General features: G+C 48.3%; 1 protein-coding gene across 4 annotated transcripts, besides 1 other annotated feature; it reads right to left on the reverse strand.

Moving 5' to 3' along the window:
- Positions 1–744: 744 nt before the first annotated feature.
- Positions 745–25,625, reverse strand: CWC25 (CWC25 spliceosome associated protein). 4 transcript variants are annotated; one of them, NR_073428.2, is made up of 11 exons: positions 25,470–25,625; positions 21,205–21,377; positions 15,929–16,045; positions 15,165–15,401; positions 13,099–13,168; positions 10,772–10,899; positions 10,006–10,069; positions 7,069–7,280; positions 6,601–6,699; positions 3,004–3,165; positions 745–2,510 (listed from the first exon to the last, which is right to left on the reverse strand). NR_073428.2 is itself a non-coding variant. In NM_017748.5 (10 exons), the coding sequence occupies exons 1-10, from the start codon at positions 25,485–25,487 to the stop codon at positions 2,396–2,398; spliced, it is 1,278 nt and encodes a 425-aa protein (NP_060218.1). In that variant the 5' UTR covers positions 25,488–25,625; the 3' UTR covers positions 745–2,395. The 4 variants fall into 4 exon arrangements, 1 of the variants encoding a protein (NP_060218.1); NM_017748.5 differs by lacking the exon at positions 15,929–16,045; XR_007065311.1 differs by lacking the exons at positions 745–2,510; positions 3,004–3,165; positions 6,601–6,699; positions 15,929–16,045 and adding an exon at positions 10,580–10,704 and having other exon boundaries at positions 7,243–7,280.
- Positions 24,333–24,964: an enhancer, noted in NCBI's record as "H3K27ac-H3K4me1 hESC enhancer chr17:36980282-36980913 (GRCh37/hg19 assembly coordinates)". NCBI's record gives its function as "activates a minimal SCP1, AML or CMV promoter by ChIP-STARR-seq in primed H9 embryonic stem cells {active_cell/tissue: H9 hESC(primed)}" and the evidence as "EXISTENCE:reporter gene assay evidence [ECO:0000049][PMID:30033119]".
- Positions 25,626–25,977: the final 352 nt, after the last annotated feature.

Here is a 25,977-nt window from a genome sequence, read left to right on the forward strand (position 1 = left end):
CCGCGTGGTACGGCCCGTCCCGGGGAGGCAGCGGCCGCCCCGCCCGCCCCTCCTCCCCGGGCCTGACAGAAACCCGCCTGGCCTCCGAACGCCTCGGGGCCCCGTGCCGGAGCCGGAAGGGGAGGAGGGCTGGGCAGGCGTCGCTGTGGACCGCGGGAGGGGCTCCCCGCCCGGGCCCCCCAACGCCAGGGTTTGGCTCTTTCCCGCAACCCGAATGCCAAGATGGCGGCGATGCCACCGCTCCGGAAGGGAAGGAGGGACGGGAATGCGAGGAGGGCGGGACGTACCATGCCCACCCCGGGGGAGAGGAGGGACGCAGCAAGGGGAAGAGAAAGTCCAGCCTAGAAAGCCAAGGAACGCCCCCTCGCTCCACCTAAGCGTGGATCTGCCCACTCTGCTGGGCCCCGGGCGCGCTCCACCCGCGGGGCACGCCCCTTGCCCCCAGGGCCAATGAGAGAAGCAGGCCAGGAACACTGGTTTTTATGAATGGGCCCCGCGCCCACCCACCTGCTGCCTGTTCTCCCCGCAAAGGGTCAGAGCTCAGAGGCCGCCAGCACCTTCAGACACCTATCCCACTAATCGTCTTACTCTGGCTCATTTCGTAAAATCTTTGAGTAAACTGCCCCACGCTTTGTTACATAATTCTCAGATGAGGGATCTCCATATATTCGACACAAATTACAGGTCAACGTTGTTCTTTCTGCATGGAAATTCGTAAACACGGTACTCCACAGGTGGTCGCTCTTTAAACAGTTACAAAAATAAATGTGGCCTTTATTACCAATTATAAAATAAACATAATTAACCCCGGCATAATGAAGTGATTAAATGAATAAAAACGTATGTTACATTCTCTAGGGAAAGATCGGGTTTCAAGCATTACAGTGCCTGGCATCATAAGTGTTCAAAAACAGAAATCCAAATACATTTTAAGCAGAATTAGGAATTAGCAGAACAAGGAAATCGCCCAGCTAATGTGCGGGTCAAGAGGGCCTAGGAGTTCACTGGTCAAATGAGGGCTTCTGGTGAAAGAATAGAGAAGGGAAAAGGAGTAAAGACAGGAGAGTGGCCCCTCGAGGGTTTTGTTTTGTTGCTGTTGTTTTTTGAGACGGAATCTCGCTCTGTCACCCAGGCTGGAGTGCGGTGGCACAATCTCGGCTCACTGCAAGCTCCGCCTCCTGGGTTCACGCCATTCTCCTGCCTCAGCCTCCCGAGTAGCTGGGACTACAGGCGCCCGCCACCACGCCCGGCTAATTTTTTGTATTTTTTTAGTAGAGACGGGGTTTCACCGTGTTCGCCAGGATGGTCTCGATCTCCTGACCTCGTGATCCGCCCACCTCAGCCTCCCAAAGTGCTGAGATTACAGGTGTGAGCCACCGCGCCCAGCCTGTTTTTTGTTTTTTTTTTAGTACCTGACTGAAAGAGACTAGCAAACAACTCCTGAAAATCTGTAATTGTAGTAAGGTTACTACACGGTAAGAAGTGAAGCCGCAAAATAAAAACTTCCATTTTATTTTCCTTTAGGAGCCATGGAGCATATTGGCAATTTGGTTCTGACTCCTAAAATCATTTTACTATACCTTTACACTGCCTACATTGGAGACTGCAAGCAGTGGAAAAGAATAGATACTCCAGATCTCGTCGATAAACCCAGGCTCCTCCTAAACCAGCCAGATTCAGAGAGAAAAACGAGCTGGCCTGCCTTATTGTATTACTTGCCATCAAGGTTCAATGTGGTTCTATTACCCAGTAAAGTCATTGACCAAACAAGGTATTTTCACAAAGCTAACCTTTTTTAAAAGCATGTAAAAATTGTACATTTGTACATATACGCATTACAATTTTACATCCAAAGATCAAATAGTTAACAGTTCATTTAGGGCTTTTTGTATTGTTTGATTTTCCAGATTCTGTCACTCCCTTGGCTTTGACCTAACCTGACATCATTCTGTCACATTATCTTCTAAATCAAGTAAACGTTCATTTGTCTCAGTAAGCACAATCTATCTGGGTGACACCAGAGAGGTTTCTGAAGGGTCTGGTGTACGCTGAGGCAGTGAAATAGGTCTGTTGGCACAGGTAAGAAGGAAGTGGCATGATAAACATCACAACCCCAGGGAACAGCCTTCCAGAGTGGCACAAGCACTCCCACCGAGATGGTCCAGTGCCCACCCGTTAAAGAGTCAAAACCCAAAGTTACTGAGTGTCCCACAAAGCAAGTCACACTAGCTCTCAAAGGAAGTGAGCTGTTTCAGGACTCAATGAAGCAGGGTCACTTTGAACACTGGTGGTTTGACATCTGTGAAAGAAGTCATTTGAACTCTTATAAAGAGAATTAAGGGGTCAGCAGCTTCCCTGGAAAATGCAGGAAAACCAATAAGAGAGGGGACAGTTTTCATCTTTTCATAAAGTTCTTCTCCAGAGCTACCGAAGTTCTCTGTAAAGAGTAGATATTCCGCTTCACCCGATCCTCCAGGGAGGAAGTAGATGCACTCTCCAGCTTCATGCGGCTAGGAAGAGAAGACAGGCAAATGCAAGTCAAAAACATTTTCAATCAGTCAACTATTCTGGCAGCTTCAGAAGAAATGGGTTGTTAGCCATAGAGCAGCTGTAAAAACACAACCTCTTTTAAGCTCCCATAGATAACTTTCGAGTGACTCCACCTGGAACCAAATGTTTTTAAACCAGTGTCCATAAGGGAAAATGTATCTGTTTTGGAAAATAAGTCAAAGCCTCATTGGAAAAAGGCTTCCTGGGCCATGAATTCTTATTAAAAAGGAAGGTCAAGGAATTTCAATGATTTAGAAAATACCAAATTCACTTCTCCTCCCCTCAAATGAAAAACATCCCACTGTGTGGTCAGAAAGGAAGAGTAGTAGCCAAGGTGGTCTGAAGGCTGGGCTCCATGTGCAAACACAGAAACACTGGAACGGGAACCAGCTGCCAGCCTGCCTCTTAAGACCTTCCCCATGAAAGACCCTGGCAGGAAGAAGATGCACTCACTGGATGAACTTCCCATCCCGGGAGTCCAGCTTCTCTAGCCTCTGCTCCCGTTCCTCATCCTTAGCATGCCTCTTGAGGATGTTCAGTCTCTCCTCCTCCCTCCATTTGGCGTTTTCCATCATCTCTTGCCGTTTTCGCTCTAATTCCTCTGCAGAGAGTTTTCTGTTGAGCACAGAAACCATACGATCAGGTCTCTTCCAGCAAAAAAACCAGAAGCAGCACAAGAAGCACAGAAGCCAGGTGGGACCCCAAGCTCTCCAGTTCACTGCTCTCTCCAAGTGCAAGGCCAGCCTGAGTTCCCTTCTAACGTCCTGGTCAGGAGGTTTCATCCAAATTTCAAAGGCTTTTAGTAAAGTATTCCATAATCTCACTCAGTAATCTCTAGAGTGATTATTCTGAAATATGAAATATGAAATAAATTGGGAACTCATCAGGAACCTAAACTTGTAGCAATTATATCCCAATGGTTTGCTCAACAATTGACAGAAGAACAGAAGACTAGGTTATCCATGTAACTGTTAACATCTACCATCTAACTACCCATTGGAGACTAGAAATTCATGACACAGCCCATGAGTACACTACTTTAGGACTAAGCTAGAAGCCAGAAGCTGAAGGAATAACTTAGCCTCAGAAAATAATAAATAGGGCCAGGCATGGTGGCTCACGCCTGTAATCCCAGCACTTTGGGAGGCCAAGGCGGGCAGATCACCTGACGTCAGGAGTTCGAGACCAGCCTGGCCAACATGGGGAAACCCTGTCTCTACTAAAATTACAAAAATAAGCTGGGTGTGGTGGTGTGTGCCTGTAATCCCAGCTACTTGGGAGGCTGAGGCAGGAGAATCGCTTGAACCGAGGAGGCGGAGGTTGCAGTGAGCCAAGATCGCACCACTGCACTCCAGCCTGGGTGACAGAGTGAGTCTCTGTCTCAAAAAAAAATAAAAACCTCCAAACGAAAAACAATTTACTATTAAAAATCTGCTTCAGATAATAAATGAAAGATATTAGAGCATTCAAATGAGAGTAGGAGGCTTAAAAAAAAAAAACAAAAACGATTGCCAGGCACAGTGGCTCTAGCCCGTAATCCCAGCACTTTGGGAGGCTTAGGCAGGAGGATTGCTTGAGTCCAAGAGTTCAAGACCAGCCTAGGCAACAAAGTGAGACCTCCCATCTCTGCAAAAAAAAAATTTTTTTTTAATTAGTTGGGCATGGTGGCACCCGTGTAGCCCCAACTATTTGGAAGGCTGAGGTAGGAGGATCAGTTGAACCTGGGAGTGTGAGGCTGCAGTAAGCCATGATCGCCCCACTGCACTCCAACCTAGGCAACAGAGTGAGACCTTGTAGGGAGAAGAAAGAAGTTATCAAAGAAATAATACAAGAAAATTTCCTAGAACTCAAAGACATGGTTTAGATTGCAGGAAGCAAATACTGACACTAGGAAAAAATATACAAATCATACAAGAAAGGAAATGTAACCTCCATATTCTGCTTGGCTTAGGAATGAAAAGTATCAGTAAACAATATTTATATATCATACAAGTATGAATCCACATACTCACTGAACCAAAAATTCTGATGTAACCATATTGGAAAGATAGGGATAGAAGAAACATGGGACTAGGAGTGTATGAGAGCTCATTTACACTAACAGATTATTTACTATAACAGTAAGAAAATATCTAAGATCTGGCCGGGCACGGTGGCTCACACCTGTAATCCTAACACTTTGGGAGGCCAAGGCAGGTGGATTGCCTGAGCTCAGGAGTTCCAGACCAGCCTGGACAACACATTGAAACCCCATCTATATTAAAAATACAAAAATTAGGGCCAGGTGCTGTGGCTCATGCCTGTAATCCGAACACTTTGGGAGGCTGAGGCGGGCAGATCACCTGACCTCAGGAGTTCAAGACCAGCCTGACCAATATGGTGAAACCCCATCTCTACTAAAATATACAAAAATTAGCTGGGCATGGTGGCATGCGCCTGTAGTCCCAGCTACTCGGGAGGCTGAGGCAGGAGAATCGCTGGAACCCGGGAGGCAGAGGTTGCAGTGAGCCGAGATCGTGCCACTGCGCTGCAGCCTGGGCGACAGAGCGAGACAAAAAAAAAAAAAAAAAAAAAGGAAGCCCGGGCGTGGTGGCTCACGCCTGTAATCCCAGCACTCTGGGAGGCCGAGGCAGGCAGATCACCTGAGGTTGGGAGTTCGAGACCAGCCTGACCAACATGGAGAAAGCCTGTCTCTACTAAAAATACAAAAATTAGCTGGGTGTGGTGGCACATGCCTGTAATCCCAGCTACCTAGGAGGCTGAGGCAGGAGAATCACTTGGGCCCAGGAGGCGGAAGTTGTGGTGAGCCGAGATTGGGCCATTGCACTCCAGCCTGGGCAACAAGAATGAAACTCCATCTCAGAAAAAAAAAAAAAAAATTAGCTGGGCGTGACAACATGTGCCTGTAGTCCCAGCTACTCGGGAGGCTGGGACAGGAGAATCACTTGAACCCCGGAGGCAGAGGTTGTAGTGAGCCAAGATTGTGGCACTGCACTCCAGCCTGGGAGATACAACAAGATGCTGTCTCCAAAAAAAACAAAGAAAGAAAAAAGAAAATATCTAATATCTAAAATTAATGGATGAAGAGGCAGCAACATATTTGTATTTTTAGGAATATGTAGCTATGAAAAGAAACTACTGAAAAAGCTGAAAGTAGTTGCCTTTGGGTAGCATGACTAAAAGTGGGATCAGGCAGGGCAAAGAACTACTAGCTTTTGTTTTTTTAAATGTTTTTAAAATAATTTTTTGTAGAGATAGTGTCTTATTATGTTGCTCAGACTGGTCTGGAACTCCTGGCCTCAAGCGATCCTCCTGCCTTGGACTCTCAAACTGCTGGGATTACAGGTATGAGCCACCACACCCAGAGAGAATAATTGAGGGGTTTTTTAAAGAGGGTTTAATTTAAGAGAGGGTCTCGCTCTGTCGCCCAAGCAAGAATGCAGTGGCTTGATCGTAGCTCACTGCAACCTTAATCCCTTGACCTTAAGTGATCCTCCCTGCCTTAGCCTCCCAAAGCGCTGAGATTACAAGCATGGACTGCTGTGTCTGGCTTGGTTTTTGTTAAGAGACTTTTTTTTTTTTTTGAGACAAAGTCTTGCACTGTCGCCTGGGCTGCTGTGCAGTGGTGAGATCTCAGCTCACTGTAACCTCCAACCCCTGGGTTCAAGCAGTTCTCCTGTCTCAGCCTCCCAAATAACTGGGATTACAGGCATGTGCCACCATGACCAACTAATTTTATATTTTTAGTAGAGATGGGGTTTCACCGTGTTGGTTAGGATGGTCTCGACCTCCTGACCTCAGGTGATCCACCCACCTCAGCCTCCCAAACTGCTGTGATTACAGGCGTGAGCCACCACGCCCAGCCTTACCTCGTCCTTTCAATGTCCTCACATGGCTGGAGGCAGGGGACGCAGACCCTTACAGGTTGGCAAGATAAATAAAAGTTGGTTCGTCGAAAAGGTAATGATGGATTATCCATTTGCCATGGTTTGAGCCCCTTCTAGATTCAGGCCTGCAAAATGTGGTTAATCAACTGGGCTCCTGACTCACCTGGTGTATCCGGGAGCATGTCGCCTTTGGTAGACCTCTTTTTTAGGTGATGGGCTCCTAGTTTGGCCTGTCTCTCTCCTGTTCACCTTAGAGTTGTGCCTGTAGCAGACACAGAAGGCAAAGAGGAAAAAGCCTTTTTGGTCCAGGGGCTTACACTGAATCCCTCAAACAATGCAAGATGAGCTAATGGTCTTAGAGGTATAATCTAAGTGTGAGAAAAACAAAGGTATAGGGTTTGATGTTAGACTCACCCCAGAGCTCCCAAAGCACAGAATACACCTACAGATATGTGGCTTTGGATGCCTGAGCTTTACATTGAGGTGGAAAAAAAAAATGATGTAAAGGAAATACCAAAGCAAAGACATTTGGGAAAGTCAATGGACGGACATCACCAAAAGCAAAAACAAATGCCTGCTGGGACCAGGCCCCCACAGTCACAGGTTATTTCCCAGTGAATCCCACACTCACAGTTTGCTGGGTCTTGGGGACCGTGACCTTCTGCCCAGGGATCGAGACCTCCTGTCCCGGGACCCTGCTTCCCTGGTGCTCTTCTTGCTGGCATGTCTTGGGGGTGAGTGGGAGGAGCTTCTGGATCTGGAATGGTTCTTCATCCCATGCCCTCTCTTTTGCTCTGCTGTCAGAGGACCCTGAAGACCCTGGTTACGGTCAGAGTTCCGGACCTACATCATTAAGGAAAAGAGAAGTTATTCACATGGAAAATCCAGCTATTCAGGAGAAAACGCGGCCGGGCTCAGTGGCTCACGCCTGTAATCCCAGCACTTTGGGAGGCCGAGGCGGGGGGGATCACCTGAGGTCAGGAGTTCGAGACCAGCCTGGCCAACATGGTGAAACCCTGTCTCTACTGAAAATTAAAAAATTAGCTGGGCGTGGTGGTGGGCACCTGTAATCCCAGCTACTCAGAAGGCTGAGGCAGGAGAATTGCTTGAACTCAGGAGGTGGAGGTTGCAGTGAGCTGAGATCGCACCACTGCACTCCAGCCTGGATGACAGAGCGAGACTCCGTCTCAAAAAAAAAAAAAAAAAAAAGAAAAGGCAGTGAAACAGGAAATGTTACATAAGGAGCTCACTGAGCACACCAATATCATCACATAGAATTATCACAGAGAACTGTATAAACTTAGTTATCTGCAGAATCCCCTAAAAGAATCTCCTTCGGTCAGCCAGGTGCAGTCGCTCACACCTTGAATCCCAACACTTTGGGAGACGGAGGCAGGAGGACTGCCTGAGATCAAGAGTTTGATACCACCCAGAGCAACTAGTGAGACCTTGTCTCTACAAAATATTTAAAAATTAGCTCGGTGTGGCAGCACACGCCTGTAGTCCCAGCTACTCAGGAGGTTGAGGCAGAAGGATCCCTTGAGCCTAAGAGGTCAAGACAGCAGTGAGCCAGGATCACACCACTGCACTCCAGCTTGGATGAGAGAGAAAGACCCTGTCTCAAAAAAAAAAAAAAAAAAGATGGCTGGGTGCTGTGGCTCATGCCTGTAATCCCAGCACTTTGGGAGGCTGAGGCAGGCAGATCACGAGGCCAGGAGATCAAGACCATCCTAGCTAACATGGTGAAACACTGTCTCTACTAAAAATACAAAATAATTAGCTGGGCATGGTGGGCACCTGTAGTCCCAGCTACTTGGGAAGCTGAGGCAGGAGAATGGCATGAACCCAGGAGGCAGAGCTTGCAGTGAGCCGAGATGGCGCCACTGCATTCCAGCCTAGGCGACAGAGTGAGACTCCATCTCAAAAAAAAAAAAAAAAAGAAAAGAAAAGAAAAGAATATACCTGGCTTGGCTGGGTGCAGTGGCTCACGCCTGTAATCCCAGCACTTTGGGAGGCCAAGACGGGCAGATCACAAGGTCGGGAGTTCGAGACCAGCCTGGCCAATATGGTCAAACCCCTCTCTACTAAAAATACAAAAATTAGCCGGGTGTGGTGGTGGGTGCCCGTAGTCCCAGCTGCTCAAGAGGCTGAGACAGGAGAATCACTTGAATGCAGGAGGCAGAGGTTGCAGTGAGCCGAGATCGCACCATTGCACTCCAGCCTGGGCGACAGAGCGAGACTCCCTCTCAAAAAAAAAAAAGAAAGAAAAGAATACACCTGGCTTAGCTCTTCACTATAGGTTAAGGAAGAGCGAGATGCAGAAGCATGGAGGACAGGACCCAAGGTTAAAAATACAGAAATATGAGGCCAGGCATGGTGGCTCACGCCTATAATCCCAGCACTTTGGGAGGCCGAGACAGGCGGATAGCTTGAGGCCAGGAGTTTGAGACCAGCCTGACGAACATGGAGAAACCCTGTCTCTATTAAAAATACAAAAATTAGCCAGGTGTGATGGCAGGTGCCTGTAATCCCAGCTACTCAGGAGGCTGAGGCAGGAGAATCGCTTGAACCCAGGAGGCAGAGGTTGCAGTGAGCTGAGATTGCACCATTGCACTCCAGCCTGGTTGACATGGAGAAACCCTGTCTCTACTAAAAATACAAAATTAGCCGGGCATGGTGGTGCATGCCTGTAATCCCAGCTACTCGGGAGGCTGAGGCAGGAGAATTGCTTGAACCCAGGAGGTCGAGGTTGTGGTGAGCTGAGATCGCGCCATTGCACTCTAACCTGGGCAACAAGAGCAAAACTCCACCTCAAAAAAAAAAAAAAAAAATACAGAAATACAGAAGTCAAGCCAGGTGCCTTGAACTTGTACTTCCAGCTACTCAGAAGATTGCTTAAGCTCAGGAGTTCGAGACCAGCCTAGGCAAAATAATGATGCACTGCTACTCAAAAAAAAAAAAAAAGAACCCAGCAGATTTATGTTTGTCAAAAATCATCAACCTACACACTTAGGCCAGGCACGGTGGCTCACACCTGTAATCCCAGCACTTTGGGAGGCCGAGGCGGAGGGATCACCTGAGGTCAGGAGTTCAAGACCATCCTGGCCAACATGACGAAACCCTGTCTCTACTAAAAATACAAAAATTAGTCGGGCGTGGTGGTGGGCGCCTGTAATCCCAGCTACTCGGGAGGCTAAAGCAGGAGAATAGCTTGAACCCGGAAGGCAGAGGTTGCAGTGAGCCGAGATCGCGCCACTGCACTCCAGCCTGGGTGACAAGCGAGACTCCGTCTCAAAAAAAAAAAAAAACAAAAAAACCTATACACTTAAAATGTGTGCATTTCATGTAAATTATTTGTAGAGGGATGGGTAGAATGTCTCAATGCCCCATTGGTGGTTTAGTCTCTCTGCTCAGAGGGTCATCAGCCACAAGAAGGTGCTCAGCGATAAGAATGGGCCTGTTTCCCAGCAGCCCAGGCTTCACTGCCCACCTCCCTGCTATCCACATTGTCCAAGTGGCACATCCCACAGTCCCACAGTCACTCCTTTCAAGAAGCCCACATCCCTACCTGTAAGCCATATCCAGGGACTTTGGACAAAACAGGGGAGGAATTTGCCATCTTCTTCTGTGATCTAAGAGATCAAAATACACACACTCATTGAAAAAGAAAATATATATAGGTCCAATTTAAATATCTTATGCTGAACTATGCTTCTTGCCTCCAATGTGACCTTTCCGCCTCCCAGCAGTTACCTGGCAGTACGTTTCTCTATTTGGACTGTCTATGCCGAAAAATGCATCAGCACAATCAAATTTTCCTGTGAAAAACTGTGGGCCTCGCTTCTAAGCCCCAACGCCTGAACACCTTCTCCTCTCACTTCATGCTGCTATTCCAGGGACAAATAGTGACTCAGCAGCGGCGGAGCTGACTGCTTCCACAGGAAGACATGCAAAATGGGCCCACATCAGCCATCAGTCCATTAAAAAAAGCCTATATAAAGCCCACTTCAGTCTTGAAGGAATCCTAAGCTGAGATGAAACAGAGTCACCCCCAGGATGTCTGACCTACCTAAGACCTACTAGGCTAAAGTCAGCATTATTAAGGGTCTCTCTCCAGCAGCATGGCCAAGATACCCACTCACATTTAGCATCTCCAAGGAACTCTAGCATTAGATGGCAAGCTCTGTGGGCACTGGGCCCATGTTCAAGTGTTCATCACTGAATGCCCAGTACCTGGCAGCTTCCAGCACAGGGCAGGTGTTCATGTCTGTGGAATGAATGAGTGAATGAGCAAGTGAATCAACGAGAAGGGAGGCCAGTCGCCACATGCTCACCTCCCTGCACTGTGCTCATCCTCGCTGCTGGAACGATCACTACTCGAGCTTCTGTGCTTATGTTTCTTGTGCTTCTTTTTCTTCTCCTTCTTTTTCTTCTTCTCCTTTTTTTCCAGACTCATTTGCAACTGGAAAATGCCGAGAACACAAGCACACAAGATTACTGAGACCAGCCAGCGCAGTGGCTCATGCCTGTAATCCCAGCACTTTGGGAGGCTGAGTGGAGCAGATCATCACTTGAGGTCCGGAGTTCGAGACCAGCCTGGCCAACATGGCAAAACCCCATCTCTACTAAAAATACAAAAATCAGCTGGGTGTGGTGGTGGGCACCTGTAATACCAGCTACTTGAGAGGTGAGGTACAAGAATCACCTGAACCAGGAGGCAGAGGTTGCAGTGGGCCGAGATTGTGCCACTGCACTTCAGCCTGGGTGACAGAGTGAAACTGTGTCTCAAAAAAAAAAAAAAAAAAAAAGATTACTGGCTGGGCATGGTGGCTCACGCCTGTAATCTCTCAGCACTTTGAGAGGCTGAGGTGGGAGGATCACAAGGTCAGGAGTTCGAGACCACCCTGGCCAATATGGTGAAAGACCATCTCTACTAAAAATACAAAAATTAGCTGGGTGTGGTGGTGTGTACCTGTAGTTCTAGCTACTCGGGAGGCTGAGGCAGAAGAATCACTTGAACCCAGGAGGCAGAGGTTGCAGTGAGCTGAGATCACGCCACTGCACTCCAGCAGCCTGGGCGACAGAGTGAGACTCCATCTCATTAAAAAAAAACAAAAAGCCCAGGCGGGGTGGCTCATACCTGTAATCCCAGCACTTTGGGAGGCCAAGGCGGGTGGATCACAAGGTCAGGAGAAGGAGACCATCCTGGCTAACACGGTGAAACACCATCACTACTAAAAATACAAAAAATTAGCTGGGCATGGTAGCAGGCGCCTGTAGTCCCAGCTACTCAGGAGGCTGAGGCAGGAGAATGGCATGAACCTGGGAGGCGGAGTTTGCAGTGAGCTAAGATCGTGTCACTGCACCACTGCACTCCACCTTGGGCAACAGAGCGAGACTCCGTCTCAAAAAAAAAAAAAAAAAAAAAGATTACTGAGACCCCTATCAGTCTCCTTTGAGGGGCGTGGCTCATGCACAAACTGCCTGACTCCATGCCTCTGGGTCTACAGAAGTCCAGGACATTATAGGGGTTCCCTGTCAACACACCAGGGGAAGGGTCTTAACCCTGGCCGTGCACTAACACCCCCAACTACTGAACTGGTATCTGGTAGGTGAGACTAAGAATTTGTGTTTTTAAACAGTCACCAAAACCACTGCCTAGGAGTTTCCATTCTGTGTCACAGGAACTCCAATTCCACTGAAAGCAGTCAGGAACTATAAGGTCAATCTTTAACTTTCCTTACCAACTGATCCAAGACACAATTACATAATATGTCATGTGAATGGTAAGTGGGCCCTAGAAGCCTTATTTTTTTTTTTTTGAGACAGAGTTTCGCTCTTGTTGCCCAGGCTGGAGTGCAATGGCGCAATCTTGGCTCACAGCAAACTCCATCTCCCGGGTTCAAGCAAGTCTCCTGCCTCATCCTCCCAAGTAGCTGGGATTACAGGCATGAACCACCACCCCGGCTAATTTTGAATTTTTAGTAGAGACAGGGTTTCTCCGTGTTGGTCAGGCTGGTCTCAAACTCCCAACCTCAGGTGATCCACCCGCCTCGGCCTCCCAAAATGCTGGAATTACAGGCATGAGCCACCGCGCCCAGCCCCTAGAAGCTTTATACCACGACCAAGGGCATACTCCAACCTCCTGAACACACTGCATGGTAATGCTTTCCACAGGCTTAGCCCACACTCTTCTTCTGGAAAAACGACATCACATGGTGCATTCTCCCACCCAAAAGACTTTCAACCAAAATCAAGCTTAATTAAGCTTAATAAACTAAGATTACATAAAATAACCAACCTGACCAATATGAATAAACCCCGTCTCTACTAAAAATACAAAATTAGCCGGGCGTGGTGGCACATCCCTGTAATCCCAGCTACTAGGGAGGCTGAGGCAGGAGAATAACTTGAACCTGGGAGGCGGAGGTTGCGGTGAGCTGAGATCATGCCATTGCACTCCAGCCTGGGCAACAAGATTGAAACTCCGTCTCAAAAACAAAAAAATGATTACATAAAATAGCCACAACATGGTCTCTAAAAGACAAAAGTTTTAGAGGCCATTCTGTTTTTCCCCTGGTAAGCTGAGAGTAAATGGAGAGACGTTCTCACGTTATATGGCTAAAAGATGCTCTTGGTGCTTATCTGGTATACTACTTACCAATTCTTTGATTTTCTTCATTTTCACTGGATTATTTAATACCTCTCGTTTTTTCTCCTCCTCCTTCTTCCTAAAGAGAGATAATTACAAAATTCATGACTATTTCTTTTCTCCAAATTCTATGGAGTAACCTTTTCTCCAAACATATACAGACAAACTGGCCCATGTTAAAATCTACATGATTAGCTGGGTGTGGTGGTGTGCACCTGTAATCCCAGCTACTTGGGAGGAGGAGAATCGCTCCCAGCTACTTGAGGGAGGAGAATCGCTTGAACCTGGGAGGCGGAGATTGCAGTGAGCTGAGATCGTGCCACTGCACTCCAGCCTGGGTGACACAGCAAGACTCTGTCTCCAAAAAAAAAAAATCTACATGATGATGGGGCTGGGTGCAGTGGCTCATCTCACACCTGTAATCCCAGCACTTTGGGAGGCTGGGGCAGGCGGATCACTTGAGGTCAGAAGTTCAAGACCAGCCTGGCCAACATGGTGAAACCTCGTCTCTACCAAAAAAAACAAAACAAAAAAATTAGCCGGGCATGGTAGCAGCACGCACCTGCAGTCCTAGCTACTCGGGAGGCTGACGTGGGAGAATAACTTAAACCCAGGAGGCGGAGGTTGCAGTGAGCTGAGATTGTGCCACTGCACTCCAGTCTGGGTGACGGAGTGAGACCCTGTCTCAAAAAAAATAAATAAATAAAAAACGACATGATGGTGTCAAAGCCAAAAATCTCTCACAAATATAAGAGATTGTCTCAAAAAAAAAAAAAAAAAAAGAGTCATGCTCAGTCGTCCAGGCTGCAGTGCAGTGGCATGATCATGGCTCACTGCAGCCTTGACCACCTGGGCTCAAGTGATACTCCCACATCAGCTTCCCAAGTGGCTGGGACTATAGGCCCCCACCACCATGCCTAGCTAATTTTTATATTTCTTATAGAGATGGGGTTTCACCATGTTGCTCAGGCTGGTCTCAATTTCCTGGGCTCAAGCAATCCATCCATCTCTGCCTCCCAAAGTGCTGGGATTACAGGTGTGATCCACCGTACCCGGCTGTCAGTTGTTTTTTTTGTTGTTGTTGTTGTTTTTTCGAGACGGAGTCTCGCTCTTTCGTCCAGGCTAGAGTGCAGTGGCGCGATCTCAGGTCACTGCAAACTCCTCCTCCCGGGTTCATGCCATTCTCCTGCCTCAGCCTCCTGAGTAGCTGGGACTATAGGCGCCTGCCACCATGCCTGGCTAATTTTTTGTATTTTTAGTAGAGACGGGGTTTCACCGTGTTAGCCAGGATGGTCTCGATCTCCTGACCTCGTGATCCGCCCGCCTCGGCCTCCTGAAGTGCTGGGATTACAGGCGTGAGCCACTGCTTCCAGCCGTGAGTTGTTTTTTGATGGTTATAGAGTTTCAATTCAGAATGGTGAAAGAGTTCTGGAGACAGGCTGTGGTGATGGTTGCACAACACTTTGACTGTATTTATTTATTTATTTATTTTTATTTTTTATTTTTATTTTTTTTTGAGACGGAGTCTCGCTCTGTCGCCCAGGCTGGAATGCAGTGGCGTGATCTCGGCTCACTGCAAGCACCACCTCAGTTCACGCCATTCTCCTGCCTCAGCCTCCCAAATAGCTGGGACTACAGGCACCCAGGGTCTCATTAATATTATCAAGAAAATAGGCTGGGCGTGGTGGCTCACGCCTGTAATCCCAGCACTTTGGGAGGCCGAGGCGGGCGGATCACAAGGTGGTCAGGAGATCGAGACCATCCTGGCTAACATAGTGAAACCCTGTCTCTGCTAAAAAATACAACAAAAATTAGCCAGGCGTGGTGGTGGGTGCCTGTAATCCCAGCTACTCGGGAGGCTGAGGCAGGAGGATGGCGTGAACCCGGCAGACAGAGCTTGTAGTGAGCAGAGATCGCGCCACTGCACTTCAGCCTGGGCGACAGAGCGAGACTCCGTCTCAAAAAAAAAAAAAAAAAAAAAAGCGAAGAGAAAACTGTAAAGCAAGAGAATCAATGGCCTTAGCAGGGTCTCAAAGCATCTGTAACAAACCCCCTTCCTAGCCCCCCATTAGTACCTGATGATGAAGAGTGGGTCCTCCCGGATCTTGCTGGCCATGTCAAGAAGGGAATTGGCACCTGATGGGGCAAAGATAGAGCCTGGGAGAAGTCCTGTTTCAGAAGAGCAGCCTGCCTCCTTCTCCTCCATCTTCTCAAAAACATATTTGTCAATGGGGCGCCCCAGCAGGTACTCGTCACGGTTCACCATCCCACCAGGACCCTGGTACATCCAGTCCAACTTTTCTTCTTTTTTCCTGGTTCAAGGGAAGAAAAAGAAATACAATTTCTTTAAAAAGCAGACTTCTGCAAACCTACACCTAAAACCTGGACACAAGGGAGAGAGAACCACAGCTAATCAGAGTTCATTCTACTGGCACCTACCATGCAATAAACACGGCACCCCATGTGGCCGGCATAAAGAAATAGTGCGGGTTGCGTGCAGTGGCTCATGCCTGTAATCCCACCATTTTGGGAGTCCGAAGCGGGTGGATCACTTGAGGTCAGGAGTTCGAGACCAGCCTGGCCAACATGATGAAACCCCATCTCTACTAAAAATACAAAACATTAGCCAGGCGTGGTGGCGGACGCCTGTAATCCCACCTACTCAGAAGGGTGAGGCAGGAAAATCACTTGAACCTGGGAGGCAGAGGTTGCAGTAAGATCACGCCACTGCACTCCAGCCTGGGTGACGGAGCCAGACCTTGTCTCAAATAAATAAATAAATAAATGGTGCTTGTCCTCATGAGGCTTACGAGTGAATGGAGAGAGAATATTCACTCACATAAAGCAATTTATAAGGAAAACCAGTGTTCCTCAACATGGGGTGTGGATCTTGGCTCAGAGCTTCTCGAGTCTCCTTTACAGAGTCTTTATATTATGCTTTCATTTCCAAGATGACCTAAAACAATGAATAAGCACATTCTACATCACCATCTTACCATCAAGAACAATTTCAGTGACCACATACGCAGTTGCATTGATTGTGCATCTTGGTGCTTGTGGGCACACAGACACCAGCGGTAACACTACACATTTGAGGGGATGATGGGAAAAAATCAGAGGTAACTGAATAAGTGACGCTTTCAAGCCAAAAGAGCCAAACACTGAATACGTGAATCATTAGGTAACTATCTGGGTTTCACAAGTGAATAAACCCTGGTCTCAGCCATCTAGGGGCCAAATTAAGTCACAGCATCATGCCACACAAACATTTCCCTGCGGTTCTGGGAGAAAAAAGTGGTGAGAAAGTGGAACCCTCATACCACAGACAGTAAAGGCAGGCTAAATTCATAAGAGCATGCGTGGAAGCAGCCAATACTACATTCACACTGCAACCAGGAAAGTACTTTCATTGACAGTATTATCTATAACCTGAAATTAAATGCTTTTTGAATATGACTTTTTTGTTCTTTTTTTTCTTTTAGACACAGGGTCTCACTCTGTCACCCAGGCTGGAATGCAATGGTGCGATCATGGCTCACTGCAGCCTTGAATTCCTGGGCTCAACAAATCCTGCCTCAGCCTCCCAAGTAGCTGGGACTACAGGGATGCACCACCATGCCTTGCTGATTTTTTATTTTTTCAATTTTTAAACAGATGGGACTTGCTATGTTGCCCAGGCTAGTCTCAAACTACTGGCCTCAAGTGATCCTCCTGCCTCAGCCTCCCAAAGTGCTGGGATTACAAGGGTGAGCCACCATGCCCAACCTGAATATGACTTTTTAAATGTGTATACTTGTTTTTGAGGTTATATAACAACTGTGAGCATAAAGAATGTTTTCCTAGTTGCATGCTTGGACATTTTTGGTAAGAATAATTTAAACCAACACTGCAGGGCCATGACCCTTTTTTTTTTCCCCCAGACAGAGTTTCACTCTGTTGCCCAGGCTGGAGTGCAGTGGAGCGATCTTGGCTCACGGCAACCTCTGCCTCCCAGGTTCAAGTTATTCTCCTGCCTCAGCCTCCCGAATAGCTGGGACTATAGGCATGTGTCACCAAGACTGGCTAATTTTTTGTACTTTTAGTAAAGACGAGGTTTCACCGTGTTGGCCAGGCTGGTCGATCTCCTGACCCCGTGATCTGCCAGCCTTGGCCTCCCAAAGTGCTGGGATTACAGGCGTGAGCAACCGTGCCTGGCCCCAAGACCCTTTAGAATTTTTTTCATATTAAAAAAATGAGTCTGAGAAACACTGTAGTCTACAGTTAAGAACTGATCAGCTGGGCACGGTGGCTCACACTTATAATCCTAGAACTTTGGGAGGCCAAGACAGGCTGATCACGAGGTCAGGAGATCAAGACCAGCCTGGCCAACACAGTGAAACCCCGTCTCTACTAAAAATACAAAAAACTAGCCAGGCGTGGTGGTACACGCCTGTAGTCCCAGCTACTCGGGAGGCTGAGGGAGGAGAATCGCTTGAACCCGAGAAGTGGAGGTTGCAATGTGCTGAGATCATGCCATTGTACTCCAACGCAGGTGACAGTGCGAGACTCGGTCTCAAAAAAAAAAAAATAAGAATTGATCATGGGGCCGGGCGCTGTGGCTCACACCTGTAATCCCAGCACTTTGGGAGGCCTAGGCGGGCAGATCACTTGAGGTCAGGAATTCAAGACCAGCCTGGCCAACATGGTGAAATGCCATCTCTACTAAATATACAAAAAAATTAGGCCAGGCACAGTAACTCACGCCTGTAATCCCAGCACTTTGGGAGGCAAAGATGGGCGGATCACAAGGTCAAGAGACCAAGGCCATCCAGGCCAACATGGTGAAACCCTGTCTCTACTAAAAATACAAAAATTAGCTGGACCTGGTGGCGTGCATCTGTAGTCCCAGCTACTCGGGAGGCTGAAGCAGGAGAATCGCTTGAACTCAAGAGGCGGAGGTTACAGTGAGCCGAGATCGCACCACTGCACTCAAGCCTGGTGACAGAGCGAGACTCTGTCACACAAAAATAATAACAATAATAATAATAATAATTAGCCAGGCGTGGTGGCACACGCCTGTAATCCCAGCTACTCAGCAGACTGAAGCAGGAGAATTGCTTGAACCTGGGAGGTGGAGGCTGCAGTGAGCGGAGATTGTGCCACTGCACTCCAGCCTGGGAGACAGAGCAAGACTCTGACTCAAAAAATAATAATAATAATAATAAATAATAGGCCGGGTGCAGTGGCTCACGCCTGTAATCCTAGCACTTTGGGAGGCTGAAGCGGGCAGATCACAAGGTCAGGAGTTCAAGACTAGCCTGACCAACATGGTGAAACCCCATCTCTACTTAAAATACTAAAATTAGCCAGGCGTGGTGATGTGCGCCTGTAATCCCAGCTACTCAGGAGGCTAAGGCAAGAGACCCGCTTGAACCCAGGAGGCAGATGTTGCAGTGAGCCAAGATCGCACCACTGCACTCCAGCCCGGGCGACAGAATGAGACTCCATCTCAAAAAATAAAATAAAATAAATAACAAAAATAAAACCAGCCGGGCACTGTGGCTCACATCTGTAATCCCAACACTTTGGGAGGCCGAGGCGGGCGGATCATGAGGTCAAAGATCGACACCATCCTGGCTAACACAGTGAAACCCCGTCTCTACTAAAAATACAAAAAATTAGCCGGGCGTGGTGGCGGGCGCCTGTAGTCCCAGCTACTCAGGAGGCTGAGGCAGGAGAATGGCATGAACCCGGGAGGCGGAGCTTGCAGTGAGCCGAGATCGTGCTGCACTCCAGCCTGGACAACAGAGCGAGACTCCATCTCAAAAAAAAAAAAAAAAAAAAAAAAAAGAACTATACAAAACAAACAGATGAATACTTAAGTCATCTAAATACATTAGCAGTAAAGACCAAAAAGAGAAGGGGCAGAGAGAACCAAATGCTGATCTTAGTGTTTTACAATATTGTAGGACATGTGATAGGGCAAAACAAAACAAAGCATATAAAATCACCTTCCCCCATTCACGACAGACAAGCAGGCATGAGTCTGCAACAATGCTGGCTCCTTTCTCTACAGTTGTGCATCTGTACTCTGACCTCATTAATCAGACTCCACAAAAGCCCAAATTTCTGATAAATTGAGCACATGATGTGTAATGCTTTGGTGAATAAAAATGTCAAAACAATTTTTACCTTTGGATAGTACCTCGGCTTATGACTAATGGGTATTCAGTCTAAAATCAATTTTTACTTATTTATTTATTTATTTATTTACTTAGAGGCAGAGTCTCACTCTGTCACCCAGGCCGAAGTCAGTGGCAAAATCATAGCTCACTGTAGCCTCGAACTCCTGGGCTCAAGCAATCCTCCTACCTCAGCCTCCCAAGTAGCTGGGACTACAGGCACATGCCACCATGCCCAGCTAACTTTTCCTTTCTTTCTTTTTTTTTTTTTGAGACGAAGTCTTACTCTGTCACCCAGGCTGGAGTGCAATGGCGTGATCTCAGCTCACTAAAACTTCCAACTCCTGAGTTCAAGTGATTCTCCTGCCTCAGCCTCCCGAGTAGCTGGGATTACAGGCATGTGCCACCATGCCTGGCTAATTTTTGGTTTTTTTTTTTTGAGACGGAGTCTCGCTCTGTCGCCAGGCTGGAGTACACTGGCGCAATCTCAGCTCACTGCAACCTCCACCTTCTGGGTTCAAGCGATTCTCCTGCCTTAGCTTCCCGAGTAGCTAGGACTACAAATGCATGCTACCACGCCCAGTTAATTTTTTTTTTTTTTTTTTAGTAGAGATGGGGTTTCACCGTGTTGGCCAGGCTGGTCTCGAAATCCTGACGTCAGGTGATCCGCCCACCTCGGCCTCCCAAAGTGCTAGATTACAGGCGTGAGCCACTGCACCCAGCCTCTATTTTTTTTTTGTTTGTTCGTTTTTTTGAGATGGAGTCTCAATCTGTCGCCCAGGCTGGAGTGCAGTGGCATGATCTCAGCTCACTGAAACTTCTGCCTCCCGGGTTCAAGCAATTCTCCTGCCTCGGCCTCCTGAGTAGCTGGGATTACCGCCACACCCAGCTAATTTTTGTATTTTAATAGAGACAGGGTTTTACCATGTTGGTCAGGCTGGTCTCGAACTCCTGACCTCAAGTGATCTGCCCGCCTCGGCCTTCCAAAGTGCTGGGATTACAGGCGTAAGCCATCGTGCCTGGCTAATTTTTTTCTATTGTTTTGTAGAGATGGGTTCCTACTACAGACTGGTCTAGAACTCCTGGCCTCAAGTGATCTGCCTGCCTCAGTCTCCCAAAGTGCTGGGATTATAGGCATAAGCCGCCACACTCAGCCTATATATTTTTAAACAGAGATGGAGCCTCACTACATTACCCAGACTGGTCTCAAACTCCTGGGCTCAAGTGATTTCTCAGCCTCCCAAAATACAGCAATTACAGGCATGAACCACCGCACCTAGTCCCCAGTTTTAGTCTATCTGTTATTTTATTTTATTCTGACTTAAGAATACACTGCATATTGTATGCTTTTTATTTTCTCAAACATATTTACTCCCATCTCCTTTTATGAGATGGATGGGGTAGTTATTATCTGCTACTCGTATCCTATATTATACAACAGGAAATTGAAGCAGGGTAAAATCTAGTGGCATTGGCCGTAATCACTCAGCTTTTATTGACAAGCATACCATCCACCTTCTCTCATGGGACCTCACTCCCTGCCCCCTGTCCCCGCCGACCCAAGCAAGCCTGAAATACATTAACAAAGGCAGGACTGCATCCTCAACATATGCTGAGAAGCAGGGTAGAGCAACCATCCTCCATCACGGTTATCAGCCATCTACTGTGAGCTCGGCTTACAGCAAGTCCTTACGTGTTATCTCATTTGATTCTCAACAAACCTTAAGAAGGCGTTGGGTATTATTACTCCCTGGTCCTACTGAAGTAACCAAGTCTCTCAAATTTGATCACAGTTCCACAGCTAGTACATGCAAAGCCAACCTTAGAATCCAGGTGAGTCTGGCATTACAACCCATGCCCTTAAGCACTCAGCCATTATACAACACTGGATGATGCATCTCAGGACAGCTCTGCAATTCCCTACACACAAGCGCACCCCCAGCTCCTCACTTACTTGACGGCCCCAACATCCTCCGCATAGCGCTGCATCTCTTCCCGGGCTCTCTCTTCTCGCAGCTCCCGCTGAAGCTCCTCAATCTTCTTCCGCTCAGCCTCATGCTTCTGCTCGGCCTTCCACACTTTCTCCACATTCCTGAGGGTCTGCGGGTGCCAGCTCTTCTTCAGATTCTGTGGTAAATAAAAAGAAGGTGATGATAATTCGGGGGGTGACTGAGTGGTGGGTATAACTAGCCCTGCCTCACCCACCCTTCCATACCCAAGGCAGGCGTGTGAGGGCAAGATGTCTTCAACAATGGCAAGGTTTTCTTCCAATAATCTCTCACACATCTAGAGGGGAAGGGGAGCTTGTTCAAGTGTATAAAGCTTCAGGACAGGTCGGGCGCAGTGGCTCACACCTGTAATCCCAGCACTTTGGGAGGCGGAGGCGGGAAGATCACTTGAGGTCAGGAGTTTTAGACCAGCCTGGCCAACATGATGAAACGCCTCTACTGAAAATACAAAAATTAGCTGGGCGTGGTGGCAGGTGCGCCTGTAGTCCCGGCTATTCAGCAGGCTGAGGCAGGAGAATCGCTTGAACCAAGAGGCGGAGGTTGCGGTGAGCCGAAACTGCGCTGCTGCACTACAGCCTGGGCGACAGAGCAAGACTCCGTCTCAAAACAACAAGAACAAGAACAAGAAAGCTTCAGGATAGAACGGGTCCTTCCTGAATTCCCTTCAAACAGTTTTAACCTTAAAAGCATACAAGTCATCCTTCCACTAGCCATACCTAAATCAGAGTTGGTGATGACAAGACAGGAGGAATGCAGTAATGAGCAGGAAGGCACATATTTTGAAAGAGAACAGAACTCATGCACTTCTGACAGTGGACATTCATTCTTTTTTTTTTTTTTTTAAAGTCTTACTCTGTCACCCAGGCTGGAGTGCAGCTATCTCGGCTGACTGCACCCTCCGCCTCCCGGGTGCCAGCAATTCTCCTGCCTCAGCCTCCTGAGTAGCTGGACTATAGGCACGTGCCACCATGCCTGGCTAATTTTTGTATTTTTTAGTAGAGATGGGGTTTCACCACATTGGCCAGGCTGGTCTCAAACGCCTGACCTCATGATCTGCCCGCAGTGGCCTCCCAAACTGCTGGGATTACAGGGGTGAGCCACCGTGCCCAGCCTTTTTTGTTTCTTGAGACGGAGTTTCACTCTTCTTGCCTAGGCTGGAGTACAATGGCAGGATCTCGGGTCACGGCAAACTCTGCCTCCTGGGTTCAAATGATTCTCCTGCCTCAGCCTCCTGAGTAGCTGGGATTACAGGCATGCGCCACCACACTCGGCTAATTTTGTATTTTTAGTAGAGATGGGGTTTCTCTATGTTGGTCAGGCTGGTCTCAAACTCTCGACCTCAGGTGATCCGCCTGCCTTGGCCTCTCAAAGTGCTGGGATTACAGGCATGAGCTACCGTGCCTGGCATGGACATTCATTCTTTGGAACTCAACCTACCTTAGCTTGGTCTACTTCACCTGCCCTAAACTTGCATGGTTTACAACCCACCCAGAATCTCTTTCAACTTTCCTTCCCAGGAATCTCTCCTTGGTTCTGATCTCCCCATTCACCCTCAAAGAACACTTCTCTCTCTCCTCCCCATCAGATACTGCTTTGGTTCACTTTCCCAATAATGAAATGTTCCCCAAAGTAAGTAATATCTAAAGACAATTGTAAACTAGCCTGGTGATGTGTGAAGGGGAGATGAGGGGGGTAGATTTCCAAACAGAGGGGAACAGTACAGACAAGTGCAGTCCTGGTGGTGAGAAAGAACATAGCAATAATTCAGTGTGGCTGGAGATGTGGCAAGCTGATGGTGCAGGGACGCAAGAAGAAGCCAAGTGAGAAAGGAGCAGAATAAGGGCCTTATAAGCCATGTAAAGGGATTACAGGCATGCGCCGCCACGCCTGGCCAATTTTTTTTTTTTTTTTTTGAGATGTCGCCCAGGCTGGAGTGCAGTGGCGCAATCTTGGCTCACTGCAAGCTCCACCTTCCAGGTTCACGCCATTCTCCTGCCTCAGCCTCCTGAGTAGCTGGGACTACAGACATCCGCCACCATGCCCAGCTAATTTTTTTTGTATTTTTAGTAGAGACGGGTTTCACCGTGTTAGCCATGATGGTCTCGATCTCCTGACCTCATGATCTGCCCGCCTTGGCCTCCCAAAGTGCTAGGATTACAGGTGTGAGCCACCACACCCAGCCTGACTCCAACTTTTTTTTTAACTTTTTTTTTTTTTTTTTTGAGACGAGGTCTTGCTCTGTCACGCAGGCTAGAGTGCAGTGGTGCAATCTTGGCTCACTGCAACCTCCACCTCCTGGGTTCAAGCGATTCTCCTGCCTCAGCCTCCCAAGTAGCTGGGATTACAGGCGCCCGCCACTGCTCCCAGCTAATTTTTGTATTTTTAGTAGAGACGGGGTTTCACCATCTTGGCCAAGCTGGTCTCAAATCCTGACCTCGTGACCCACCCGCCTCTGCCTCCCAAAGTGCTGGGATTACAGGCATGAGCCACTGCACCTGGCTGAGACTCCATCTTAAAAAAAAAAAAAGAAAAGAGAATGGACTGGAGAGGACCAGGAGACCAATTAAGAAAATAAGATCATGTCCACAAGGTACTTGGCATGTGGAAAATGTTCGGTCAATGAGAGCTCCCTTTTCTTCCTTTTCTCTTCCCCTCCTTGTCCTGCCTCTCCCCTTCGTCAGGTCATTCAGTTGGTTGGTTGTGGGTCAGTCCGTCAGTTGGTCTGACCATCCGTCCATCCTTCCGTCCTTCCTCCCTCACTCCCTCCCTCTTTCTCCCTCTAACCCTTCCCATCTTGTCCTCCCTGCCTCAAGCATAGATTATTTTGCTCCCCAGGGAGAAAATCTTCTGGAGTCATTTTTGGCTGTCACAACTGGTGGAGACGGGTGTTAGTGGATAGCTCCAGTCTAGTGGCTAGAGGCCAGTGATGCTGCTAAACATTCTACAATGCACAGGACAGCCCAACTACCACCACTACCACACACCCCCAAAGAATTATCTAGGCCAAACTGTCAAGAGCGCTAATGTTGAGAAACCCTGGATTAGAGCTTTCCTGTCCTTAAATGCAGTTATGTGAAGAATACACTAAATTGGATGAAACTAGATGGAGTCCTGGCACTCACTGTGATTGAGAACACATGACAAACTAATAGGTTTACTGGGCAGGCGGCTAAGCTGATCTACTTGCTGGTTCAATTAGCTCCACTTTCCGGAGGCTAGCATTTTCCCAACCTTGCCCCATGCTCTTGTGGGTACATTTACCCTATTTGGGGCCTTAGCGCTTTACAAATGAACGTTTCAGTTTAAGAGACATTGCCACATAACTTATATTAAGTGGTATGAATTCAAAAGCAAGCTCTGCCACTACAGATCAGAATCCAGCACTGAAGGAGGTGTGGAAGTCAGAAAGATGGACAGGAAGATCCCTTCAGGCTTAAAAAGGACCCCAGGGCCGGGCGCTGTGGCTAACCCTTGTAATCCTAGCACTCTGGGAGGCCGAGGCGGGCGGATCACTTGAGGTCGGCAGATCGAGACCAGCCTGACCAACATGGAGAAACCCTGTCTCTACTAAAAATACAAAATTAGCCGGGTGTGGTGGCGCATGCCTGTAATCCCAGCTACTCGGGAGGCTGAGGCAGGAGAATCGCTTGAACCCAGGAGGGAAAGGTTGCGGTCAGCCGAGATCGCGCCATGGCACTCCAGCCTGGGCAACAAGAAACTCCGTCTCAAAAAAATAAAAAATAAAAAACGACCCCAGGGCATGGCTTAGGGTAGGGAGAATGGGGCACAAACCACCCCTACTTCAGTCCAGGACATGACTCTGAACTCTCACCCAAGGAAGAGAGGTGTGTGGCAAGACAAGATATACAAAACAAAGTGTGGTGACACGTCCTCCATATCTACCTCCTTTCCTAGCCATGGCTCCATCCGCCCCCTCCCCGGTCTTCCCAGAATTTACAGCCGGTAGAGCCGCAGTCAACAAACACGCAAACACCACCTGTCACTGTTCGCGACACACCTCGGACTTTCCCAAATCTCAGTCCCACCCCTCCATTGCCCTAAGGATCCATCCCCTCTTCAGGGCAACGGCCTCCTCCCGGCGAAAGCAAAGCTGCGTTGCCATGGTTATCCACTCCTTCCTCTACCCCCACCCCCTGCCAATTTCCGTCCCGGCCTCAGTCCTCCCCCGCCCAGGCCTCCCTCCACTCACCAGGTCTCCGCCCCCCATGACGGTGGAGACGATTCCTCACTACGCGGATCTGGAAGATTTCGGGAGGATCAAGAGAAAACGTAGAGAAATAGTTCGGGGGCTACCTCGCGGGATCTAGTCCCAGGAGCCGTCAACTGCCAGTTTCACCACCGCTCTAGAGGTCACTTCCGGGAGGGCGTCATCTCACCGCGTCGGCGTCGCGGAACGATGACGTACAGGGCTCGGTCGCGCTTTGTGACGTTGGCGTTACTTGCAGATTTTGCAAAGGTCCGGGCTCCGCTGTCGAGGCCTTTGCTGTCGAGGTCTCATTTTGGCTGCTTCGGGTCGCCACGTTGCCTGATGTCCCAGACTCTCTGTTGAAACGCCACAACTCTGTTCAGTGATGGGTTGCCGTGGGCCTGTGCCCACGGCTGTGTTGCCATGGCAGCTCACCAGGGCATTCGGCTCAAAGCTCCACGTAGTCTCTGCTAGACCTAAGGTGGACCAGACTAGGCCTCCTCCCCTCACC

Source organism: Homo sapiens, chromosome 17, assembly GCF_000001405.40.
Source record: "Homo sapiens chromosome 17, GRCh38.p14 Primary Assembly".
NCBI classification, from domain to species: domain Eukaryota; kingdom Metazoa; phylum Chordata; class Mammalia; order Primates; family Hominidae; genus Homo; species Homo sapiens.

Excerpts from the sequence above, each read along its gene's own strand:
- CWC25 (NM_017748.5), bottom strand. Across the intron at positions 6,700-7,068 it reads TCCCCAAGACCCAGCAAACT|GCACAACTCTAAGGTGAACA; the intron begins GTGAGTGTGGGA and ends TGTCTGCTACAG. Across the intron at positions 2,511-3,003 it reads CGGGATGGGAAGTTCATCCA|CCGCATGAAGCTGGAGAGTG; the intron begins GTGAGTGCATCT and ends TTCTCTTCCTAG.